This window comes from Homo sapiens, chromosome 8 (genome assembly GCF_000001405.40).
Source record: "Homo sapiens chromosome 8, GRCh38.p14 Primary Assembly".
In the NCBI taxonomy this organism is placed as follows: domain Eukaryota; kingdom Metazoa; phylum Chordata; class Mammalia; order Primates; family Hominidae; genus Homo; species Homo sapiens.
This window is the reverse complement of record NC_000008.11, coordinates 124,450,353-124,462,486: the sequence shown is the minus strand read 5'-3', so window position 1 is coordinate 124,462,486 and position 12,134 is coordinate 124,450,353. Positions and strand designations below refer to the sequence as shown.

Genomic DNA, 12,134 nt, shown 5'->3' with positions numbered 1-12,134 from the left:
AATGAGACACACACCTCCTACCAAAATAAATAGAGCATCAGTAAAGGGTGGGACAACTTCAGGCAGCCAAATGCATGTGTATAATTGCAGTCCTTGAAGGAGAAGAGTGGGGAGCAAAAAATGGTGGTGGTCTAGTCCAAAGTAAGTAGAAAAAAAAGAAATAGAGCAGAAATCAAAAGGTGGGCCGGGCACGGTGGCTCATGGCTGTAATCCCAGCACTCTGGGAGGCAGAGGAGAGTGGATCACGAGGTCAGGAGTTCAAGACCAGCCTAGCCAAGATGGTGAAACCCCGTCTCTACTAAAAATACAAAAAATTAGCTGGGCTTGGGGGTGGGTACCTGTAATTCCAGCTACTCGGGAGGCTGAGGCAGGAGAATCACTTGAACCCAGGAAGCGGAGGTTGCAGTGAGCTGAGATCGCGCCACTGTACTCCAGCCTGGGCGCCAGAACAAGACTCCATCTCAAAAAGAAAAAAAAGAAAGAAAGAAAAAGTAGAAATACAATAGAGAAAAATCAATGAAACCAAAAGCTAATTCTTTGAGAAGCTAAGTTTGATAAAGCTCTAGGCCGACTGATCAGGAAAAGAGAGGACAAATTATCAGTATCAGTAATGAGAGGTGATAACACTACAGATTTTACAGTTGTTAAAAGGAACATTTTGAACACTTTGTATCAGTATATTTGGCAAATTAGATAAAACAGAAAAATTCCTTGAAGATGCAAACTACTAAAGCTCAGCCAAGAAATAGATACCCTAAAAAACTCTTTCAGAGAAACTGAATTTGTAGTTACAAATCTTCCCATAAAGAAAAAAATCCAGGTCCAAATAGCTTCATTGGGGATTTCTAACAAACATTAAGGAAGTAATAATAATTGTACATAAACTTTTCCAGAAAATGGAAGAATGCATCCCAACTGAGTCAACTAATTCTATGAGCCAGCATTTTTCCCATGAACGTAAACGAAAAATTTATTGACTATGAATTATGTATACAAAGCCAACTCCTTGTACAATCCCATGTCACCACAGTTGTTGGAAATGAGGGTGGGCAGATGAAGGAATATTAGGGGTTAGTGTATGTGTTGAGTATATTTTTAAATGTTTTAGAATACTAGGATTTTGATAAACTGAATTTGCAAGACATCACATATTTAACCATGTCACATTTTTGCTTAGACCCTTCAATGACATCCCATTGCTGCTGGGATGGTGTTCTTAATATAGCCTACATTGCCCCCTGCCTGATCTGACCATCACTTAACTCTGCAGCCTAATTAACATTCCTTCACCCCTTACTCTTTCCTCTCCATCCACCCTACCCTTCATTTTGGCCCCTCAAATTCCTCCACATGGCACTTGCACACACTGTCAGAGCCTGGAAAGCTGTTCCCCATTTTAGCCACTCATTAATTCCTACTCACCATTCAGCTCGCAGCTAAGTCATCAAATTCTCAGGGAAGACTGCCCTGACCTTTCTGACCAGGCCAACCCGTCATAGGTTCCAATTGCACCCCGAGAACCTCTCCTCACAGCATTTACTAGAATGCAAGTTGTTACATGAAATGTTGTATGTGGTGTGTGATTATTGGATAAATGCCTATCCCTCTCATTAGAGTATAAGGTCCATGGAGTCTGGGATTGAGTCTTGTTTTGTTGGCTATTTTACTCCCAGTGGTTGCCACAGTGTCTGGCACATGATTGGGGCCCAAAAACATTTATGAAAGGGCAAGAAGAGACAGAAGGGAAAAGAGACAAAACAACACTCCAGCCTGTGGTCTAGTAACTAAGCTTCTGTGCTTTTATGGCTACAGCCTGAGTTAGATTCCTGTTCAGGGAACGAATCCCATTATTGAGTATCTATCACTTTGATTAAAAAAAAAAAAAAAAGACCAAACGCAGTCCTTGGAGTCATGGATAAATTAATTTCAAGGCTGAATGAAGTTTTTATTTCACTGGATGGAAGCATTAACCGATGAAACACCTGAAAAAAAGAACTGATTTCAAGATGCCCTGTTTTGGGTGGTATGAGCTCTGTGAGCATTCCCACTCAGTTTTTATTTACTCACTTCTATTATATATGTCTAATTTATTTGGTTAATCTAGTACTCAGAATATCAGGTAGAAATATTTCTTGCCTGTAAGTTAAAAAAAAATTCGCACAGTGACTTAAATAGACTTGGGGGTGGGATTGCAGGTTATTTTATTTTTTTATTTTTTCACATGACAAGTGCAGAGATAGACATTTCAGGGCTGTGTAGCTGATCAAAGATCCCCTTAAGAAATCAGTCCTACAATGCTGCTCTGCCAGTCTTAGCATGCTTGGAGAGATGGCTGCTACATCTCCAGGGTCAGAGACCCAAAGCCCTCCCCGGGGACCTCTGCCTGCAGCTCCTTGCCAGAACTGGTTCACATGGTCACTATCTGTGCAAGAGAGGCTGGGAAATTTAGTACTTGAGTTTTCCAGCTTCTCCTTTTTAAGAGAAAGGGGAATTGGGATGGATACTGTGAGTCAATTCTGGGCCCCAGTGAAAAGGTTCTTGGGAACAACTTGGAGAATCTGGAGAAGGGCCTATAGGAAACACACAATGGTAACTGTAAGATTCAAAAGAAAGTTTCAATGAGACAAATAGCTTATCTTGGAGAAGAGGTTAAGGGGCCCTCACTTCCTCTGCCTTTACATAGTTGATTCTATTCAAAATTCAGCTCTAGGACAGGCACCATGGCTCATGCCTGTGATCCCAGCACTTTGGGAGGCTGAGGTTAGAGGATCACTTGAGCCCTAGAGTTCGAGACCAGCCTGGGCAACATAGTGAGACCCTCTATCTATAAAAAAAATTAAAAATTATGGGTGGGCACAGTGGCTCACACCTGTATTCCCAGCACTTTGGGAGGCTGAGGTGGGTGGATCTCTTGAGGTCAGGAGTTCAAGACCAGCCTGGCCAACATGGTGAAACCCTGTCTCCACTAAAAACAAAAATTGGCTAGGCATGGTGGTGCACACCTGTAATCCCAGCTACTCGGGAGGGTGAGGCAGGAGAATCACTTGAACTTGGGGGGGTGGGTGTGTGGGAGGTTGCTACTCAGGAGGCTGGGGCAGGAGGATTGCAGTTCAGGAGGTCAAAGCTGCAAGTAAGTCTTTTGTTTGTTTGTTTGTTTGTTTGGTGGGGGACAGAGTCTCACTCTGTCACCCAGGCTACAATGCAGTGGTGTGATCTCCGCTTACTGCAACCTCCGCCTCCCGGGTTCAAGCGATTCTCCTGCCTCAGCCTCCTGAGTAGCTGGGATTACAGGTGTTTGCCACCATGTCTCACTAATTTTCGTATGTTTTTTTTTTTTGGGGGACGGAGTCTTGCTCTGTCACCCAGGCTGGAGTGCAGTGGTGTGATACTGGCTCACTGCAATCTCTGCCTCCTGGGTTCAAGCGATTCTCTTGCCGCAGCCTCCCGAGTAGCTGGGACTACAGGTGCCCACCACCACCCCTGGCTAAGTTTTGTATTTTTAGTAGAGATGGGGTTTCACCATCTTGGCCAGGCTGGTCTGGAACTCCTGACCTTATGATCCACCCGCCTCAGCCTCCCAAAGTGCTGGGATTACAGGCATGAGCCACCGCACCTGGCCAATTTTTGTACTTTTATTAGAGACAGGATTTCACCATGTTGGCCAGGCTGGTCTCAAACTGCTGACCTCAGGTGTGATTTGCCCACCTCAGCCTCCCAAAGTTTACAGGCGTGAGCTGGGATTACAGGTGTGAGCCACTGCACCCAGCCTGCAGTGAACCTTGATTGCGCCACTGCATTCCAGCCTGGGCAACAAAGCAAGACCCTAAAAATAATAAAATGCAGCTCTGGTGTTCCTTCCTGTAGGAAGTGTTTCCAAGTTCTTTGCTTTTTTTTTTTTAACAGCTTTATTGAGATATAATTCACATACTATAAAATTCACCCTTTTAGTATATATGTTGCTGAAGCAAGTAGGGAAATTCACCCTTTAAAAATATACAATTAAATGGCTGGTTCATATATTATAGAGTTGTGCAATCATCACCACCATCTATTTTCAGAACATTTTCATCTTCCCACAAAATCAACCCAGTACCTATTAGCAGTCATTCTCCATTCTCCACTCCCCCCAGCACCTGGGAACTTACTTTCTGTTTCTATAGATTTGCCTATTCTGGCCATTTCATATAAATGGGACCATACAATAAATGACCTTTTGCAACTGGATTCTTTCACTCAGCATAATGTTTTCAAGGTTCATCCAGAAACCATGTATCAGTACTGCATTCCTTTTTACAGATTCCATTGTATATATATGACATTTTGTTTAACCACTCATCAGTTGATGGACTTTGGGTTGTTTCCACATTTTGTCTATGAATAATGCTGCTACAAATATTCACGCACAAGCCTTTGTGTGGACATATGTTTGCATTCTCTTGGGTATATATACCTCTATCACATATGTCTTATTTATTTGGTTAATTCACTGCTGGGTAATATGCTAACCCTATGTTCAACACTTTAAGGAACTGCCACAACTGTTTCCCAAGTGAACAGGGTTGGATCTTTATTTTAAACATTTTAAATGCTTGTAATCATTTTAAATAATAGTTGAGTTTGAAAATGACTACTTTTACAGCTTGTGCAATATAAAGTGGCTGTACCCTGAGGCTGTTCAGAGTGATATATATTGGATTTTGTCACATGTATGCCCAGGGTAGGAGAAAATGAAATTTAAATTCTATTTGTTTCTTACTATTTTTAATTTCTGTTCGTGTATGGTTTTTCTGTTTTTGAGACAGAGTCTTGCTCTGTTGCCCAGGCTGGAGTGCAGTGGCACAATCTCGGCTTACTGCAACCTCCACTTCCTGAGTTCAAGAGATTCTCCTGCCTCAGCCTCCCAAGTAGCTGGAATTATAGAAGCCCACCACCACACCTGGCTTATTTTTGTATTTCTAGTAGAGACAGGGTTTTGCCATGTTGGACAGGCTAGTCTCAAACTCCTGACCTCAGGTGATCCACCTGCCACAGCCTCCCAAAGTGCTGGGATCACAGGCATAAGCCACCGCACCTGGCCTATTTGTGTATTTCAAAGGCACATATTGTACTCATATATTACTGCACTCATATAATTTTTTAAATTACAAAGTTAATAAAGCAGCTCAAGTTTGAGGGAGTTTTTAAAAATTACTATTTTTTAAAAATCACAATATCTCTATCAGGTGGCTGCATTGACTGGCAACTAATACTGAAGCTTGCATGGGAAGCCTTTAGAGCTTATACAAATTGCTGGACTGAGATGACAAGGACCCCATGAGCCTCCCGAACCCTTCAGTCTTTTTTCATTGGTTCCATAAGATGCCTCTTCCCAACCAGGGCAATCCAGCAAGTCCTCAAAGAAAACTAAAATGTAAATGAACATGCTTAAGTAGAGAAAAAGCTTAAGGGAGGCTTCTGTTCTTCCATCCACACATTAACTCCTGCTCATTCTTTAACACTCCCTTAGGCATCCCTGCTCCTACCTTCCTAGTCACCCTGTTCAATCCTCAACCCACATCCTCAAATGAGGGTGGCTGCCTCTCCTATGTGTGCCCATAAAAACCCTTATTTCTATCTAAGCACTCAGTAAACAGCACTGACATTGTTTTCTCTGTATCTGTGTCACCAGATAGTGATCCCATTGTGGGCAGGACTCAGTTTTATTCATCTCTATGTCACTGGCTCCAAGCACAGCGCTTAATGGAGAGAGTACACAGTATCTCCTAATTAATCAGTGAATGGCTTTTCAAAATAATGACATTCTGCCTCAAGTAGGCCAGACATACAGCAACCCCTCACAGCCAAATTGGAAAGTGGTGGTTCATCATATACAAAGACTGACTGATAGAATGAAGTGTGAAAGGAAAATAAAATGTCAGACCCCAGGCCGGGCGCAGTGGCTCACACCTGTAATCCTAGCACTTTGGGAGGCTGAGGTGGGTGGATCACCTGAGGTCGGGAGTTCGAGACCAGCCTGACTATGGAGAAACCCTGTCTCTACTAAAAATACAAAAATTAGCCGGGCGTGGTGGCACATGCCTACAATCCCAGCTAATCGGGAGGCTGAGGCAGGAGAATCGCTTGAACCTGGGAGGCGGAGGTTGTGGTGAGCTGAGATCGTGCCATTGCACTCCAGCCTGGGCAACAAGAGCGAAACTCCATCTCAAACAAACAAACAAACAAACAAACAAGTCAGACCCCAAACTTACTATGCCAAAGGGAAAAGTGAAGCCTGGAAACTCAGTCATGCAAAAAAACTGCCTTTCCTTTTGCCTAAACACAGCCGCAAGATAGAAGATTCCATATCTCCTCAGTTGGCCTCCCTTACCTTGACAATGTAAACAGCTTATCTTCACAGATACAGCACAAAGTCAAGACTAGAAACCATCCCTCTGCCCACCTCAGACATATGCATATTTACTGAGTCCTGACAAATGCTTAATTGACTGTTCCTCTACCCCACTTCACATGTAACATGTGGATTCAGTGAGCACTAATCAAAGCCTCACAAGAATGTGACCACTTAACTCACTACCTACACTCCTTTTTGTTTTTTTCCTCTACCCCTACTCCTCCTACCCTCACTTTCCCCTTTAAATACTGAAGCCCTCAAAATCCTCTTTGGAAAAATGTGTGGGCCACAGATCCTACTGTGACTTGTGTCTTTTTCCCATGTGTGTCCTCAACCTTGGCAAAATAAGCCTCTAAACTGATTGAGACCTGTCTCAGATACTTTTTATTTTACAAAAGTATTCACCACTCAGTGAGTCACGATGATGACAGCTTAACATATATTCATTTAAACCTAAGAACTACCCTACAGGATATGTACAATTGTTAACCCTAATGTACAGATAAGGAAACTAAATCTTGAGAGATTCATAACTTGCCTGAGGTCACCCAGAAAGTAGAGGAGTCAGGAGTTGAATGAGTGGAATCTAAATTCTAAGAGGCATTTGGGAGGCCGAGGCGGGTGGATCCCTTGATGTCAGGAGTTCAAGACCAGCCTGGCCAACATGGTGAAACCCTCTCTACCAAAAATACAAAAATTAGCCGGGCATGGTGGCAGATGCCTGTAATCCCAGCTACTCAGGAGGCTGAGACAGGAGAATTGCTTGAACCTGGGAGGCGGAGGTTGCAGTGAGCTGAGATCGCTCCACTGCACTCCAGCCTGGGCGACAGAGCGAGACTCCATCTCCAAAAAATAAAAACAAATAAATTATATGAAGGCAGAGCCATGTCAGTCTTACATCACTGCACACACAGGGCCCATATATATATGTATATATTTATTTATTTATATATTTATATATGAATATATATATTATATATGAATATATATATTATATATGAATATATATTATATATGAATATATATATATTATATATGATATATATATTATATGAATATATATATAATATATATATGAGAGAGGGAGAGTGCAAGCATGCAGGAGTCCAACAACTGTTGGTCGAATGAGTTCAACTGGCCACACCTGACATCAGCTGTCTATCCAGAGCTTGTGGCAAAAAGGCAAATCCTCAGTCCCCAGACTGACTCTCTGGCTCCTCTTCCTCATTGTTTCTCCTTGTTCCCTTCCCATATTGGCTCAACCTCCAGGTTGGTATCTTTATAGTTTGAGGACAGCAAGCCATGGACACACAAGTGAGGAAAAACCCACTATGTAAAAGAGGAGATGACTGGCTGGGCATGGTGGCTCATGCCTGTAATCTCAGCACTTTGGGAGGATGAGGCGGGCAGATCACAAGGTCAGGAGATTGAGACAATCCTGGCTAATTCGGTGAAACCCGTCTCTACTAAAAATACAAAAAATTAGCCAGGCGTGGTGACACACACCTGTAGTCCCAGCTACTTGGGAGGCTCAGGCAGGAGAATCGCTTGAACCCAGGAGGCAGAGGTTTCAGTGAGCCGAGATTGTGCCACTGCACTCCAGCCTGGGTGACAGAGTGAGACTCTATCTCAAACAAAAAAAAAAAAAAAAAGGAGGAGATGATTAAGGTAACACAGGAAGACCGCTCTGTGAGATGGGAATGGAAATAAGCAGGCTGTTTGTTTTTGTGGTGGGATCACATGCTGGCTAACATCTCCCTAGGGGATTACTGTGTACAAGACACAGTGCTTTTTTAATCCTTACAACAACCCCCATCTTCAACACATCTCTCACTGCTTCCTCTGTTCCAAACTTATCTAATAACAACATACCATTTTCTGAGGATTCAAACTTTTGCATCTGTTATTCTCTTCTACTAGTGCCTGTTTCTACCCGCAACCTACCCATCAAAATCTTACCCAGTTTTCATGAGCCAATTCAAACACTACCTCTGAAGACTTCACTATTCAGTTCTGAGAACTCCTTTCCCACCTTTTCATTCCTACAACGTGCTATCACTCACATGGCACTCATCTTACTGCATTCCAAGTCTTTCTTTGAGTACTTGTGTTATTTCTGCTGCTAGATTGTGGGTTTCTCAGAGACAGGAACTCTATCTAATGGATCGTTATGTTTCCTGTGGCTTTTGTATATAATAGGCACTTAATATTTGTTGGATAACACAAACAGCACCAACCTGTCCTTACTGCTACTGTTGCAAGAGAAGGATGAGTAGCCATGCCCAAATCCAGCCAGCCAAATGTCAGGTACAATCATACAAGGCCACACTTTTCTATATTTCCTTCACCTAGCAAACCAGCCTAGATAGCTTCAAAATACACCAGAACAAAGCTCTGAGTGGTAATCAACAATTAGTCATCTTGGGTCATGCGTGGTGGCTAACACCTGTAATCCCAGCACTTTGGGAGGTCGAGGTGGGCAGATCACTTGAGGTCAGGAGTTCCAAAACAGCTTGGCCAACATGGTGAAACCCCATCTCTACTAAAAATACAAAAATTACCTGGGCATGGTGCTGCACACCTGTAATCCCAGCTACTTGAGAGTCTGAGGCTTGAGAATCGCTTGAGCCTGGGAGGCAGAGGTTGCAGTGAGCCAAGATGGTGCCACTGCACTCCAGCCTGGGTGACAGAGCAAGACTCTGTCTCAAAAAAACAAAAAAGCAAACAAACAAAACAACAAACAATTATTCACTCCAGTGGCAAACCATCTTTTATGGCAGACAGCCATAAAATAAGGTGAGGCTGGAAATGCTCTGCAGAATATCTCACATTCCCTATAGCTTCTTAGGTTGTCCCTCCTGTTCTCAGCCACGGTAGGAAGATGAAGAGGGAGTATGAGGCCTATACGAATCTAAGATTTTAATAGGAACTTTAAACTAATAAGTATTAATTGGCAGCTATTGCACAAGCTTGAGGCTAGAAATCTAGATTCCCTATGATTTAGAACAGTGATTCGTCCTCAGCAGATGAGCTTTAAAAAAAAAAATAGACTGGTGATTCTTAACCATATTTCTACCACAACAAACCAAATTTATAAGACAACCCCTCACAATCATTTAGGAATGCCACAGTAAGGGAATGGAAATACACTAAAATAATTTTTGTTCCCTTCTCTCTCTAATTTAGTCAGTCATAATAACAAAGCAGCTTCATGTTAAGGACTTAATTCTGATTCCATTGCTTGGTCTGTCAATTTTATTTATCATATCAATCTACCTCCCATTACCACCATCCGAGTCCAAGTTACCATCACCTCAGACCTGGACAACCACAGAAGCCTCCTCACTGGTCTCTCTGTTTCCATCTTGGCCCTCCTTCAGTCAATTTTCTATATGGTAGCCAGAGCAATTTGGAAAAAGCACTGTGTCTTTCACTCTAAAATAACCGATGTCCTGTGTATAGTTGCTTAATAGTCACGTGAGACAGTTCAAAGAAACTCTCATTTTGCAAATAACGAAACCCGAGGCCAAAACATACTGAAACTTCAATTCCAGAACTGAGGTCAGAATTTGGAATTCATAATTGCACAGATGAGCCTCATTTCAATGGGCCATGCTGCTTCTCCCAAACAGGTATTTCATTTTCTGTTATCAATGAAAGACAAATGAAATAATTTGAATTGATCTAGAGCCTGCTTTCAGGGCTATAAAATATGAAAAAAACTGATCACCAGGGGACAAAAGGGATGACAACCTGGACTGAACTGATACATTTAAGGGCCACTCGCACGTGGATCCCATGTGTCCCAGGATCTACCTCCTCTAGCCAACTGAAGGACAGGGGCAGCATTCCAGATCCAGGACTATGTGATCCACATGGGGAGCATAGGATTTCACTGGTTGGATGTGCAGAATTTGTGTCTTCCATGGTTTCCCATGCACCTGCTGAAGAAGAGTGGCGATTCGAGTTTCTGCAGATTCTGCCCACCTTTGCCACTCTGGCTTGGTGGCTGGTGACAGCATTTTTCCCCTAGAATCCCTGGTAGCTCCATTTTTCCATTGGTTGGTGGTAATTTGCTGAGGATACAGCCAATGCTCTTTCTCTACTTTGCTGACTCCAAGAGCCTGAAGATTCTTCCCTGGGAAAGATTCCACATTTTGGTGGATATGCAAAATGCCTCCAGCATCCTGCCTTAACACTTGGCAGGCAATGGGCCAGCCTTCTTCAGAGCTGGGAATCAGCCCCAGGATCACCCTATCTGCAATATTTGAGAGCTTCAGTTTTCTGTTATCTCCAAAGTGTATTTGGCACCGATCTGCTACTCCATTGATCTCAAGGTTATTTCTCAGAGCAACTACAGCATGGGGATTCCACTCACAAGCATGGACGAAGGCAGCACCAGCATGAACTAGGAAAGGCAATGTAAAATAACCAATCCCTGCATAGAGATCCACCAGCACTTCTCCAGCACAGGACAACGATGCCACTCGAAGCTTCTCAGTGATGTTTCCAAAGGAGAACATACACTGGGTCACGTCAAACTTATAACGGATACCATTATCCACATGCTCTACCCAGCCATGGTCACCCAGCAGCAGTGTCACTGCTGGAGTTCGAGTACCATCCGGTGATACCCGCCCTCGTTTTGCCAAACGCTGGACGCCAAGTGCCAAGGCAACGGTCTCCCAGAGTTCCGGTCCCAGATTTTTCCACTGCTTGGCTTGGAAACAGTCTTCACTCAGCAACAAGAGATTACCATGCCGTTGCCATGATCGGGGCAAATCAGCCTCCAACTCGGCTGACCACTTGACTCCCCGACCCTCCACCCAGCGACTCACCTCAAGACACAATTTTTGGGCAGGTGAACAACCCTGGGCCCTCTTCGAAGGAACAGGATCCGGGAGCTGCGTGAGCATACAGGGACTGCCTGGGGCAACACGATTCCTCAGCTCCTGCAGGTGCTGCTCTGGAAGCGTCTCTCCCAGCACCGGTAGCGCCACCGAGCCATCCGGCATCTTTTCCACACGGTGCTGTGTATCAAAGAGTTTCTGCCTCTGGAGATATTCTCTGTATCGCTGGGTAAACCAAGGCTCAGTCACAACTGCGACAACAGCCACGGGCTTCCCACTTTCTCTCTCCATGTTGCTAACAACCACATTCTCTCTCATCACCTCAGCGATACTCCATCTCCTCAGAGTCGGCTCACCAGGCTGACTAAATTCCCGGTCTTAAATAAGGTAGCCTGCAGCTCACCCGGCCATGCCGGTGCCGGAAATGACGTGCAAAGAGGCCGGAACTAAATATATTGATGCGCTTGCTTGAGAATGGCGTTGCCGTTGCTGTGGAGAAGCTGCGGCCGCCATCTTTTTTATGGTCAACCATTACTTTTTTTTCAGCCTAGGAAGACATTTATAACAGGGAATCTTATGGACTAAAAGACTTCAAATTGCTATTTTCCAGAAACCTCATGCACTCTCTTCAGTGCTGCTCATGAATTCAAAGAGAAAAATTAACATGAAATTGTCAGAGGCGCATGAACCAGAGCAACTCCATCTTAAATAGGAGCTGGGTAAAATGAGGCTGAAACCTACTGGGCTGCATTCCTAGACGGTTAAGGCACTCTAAGTCGCCAGATGAGATAGGAAGTCAGCATAAAATACAGGTCAAAAAGACCTTGCTGATAAAACAGGTTGCAGTGAAGGAGCGGCCAAAATCCACCAAAACTAAAATGGCCACGAGAGTG

General features: G+C 43.7%; 1 protein-coding gene across 1 annotated transcript; it reads right to left on the bottom strand.

The window, feature by feature from the left end:
* Positions 1-9,460: 9,460 nt before the first annotated feature.
* Positions 9,461-11,667, bottom strand: TYW2 (tRNA wybutosine-synthesizing protein 2). Its single transcript, NM_017956.4, has one exon. The coding sequence runs from the start codon at positions 11,557-11,559 to the stop codon at positions 10,213-10,215; it is 1,347 nt and encodes a 448-aa protein (NP_060426.2). The 5' UTR covers positions 11,560-11,667; the 3' UTR covers positions 9,461-10,212.
* Between the last annotated feature and the right edge of the window lie 467 nt (positions 11,668-12,134).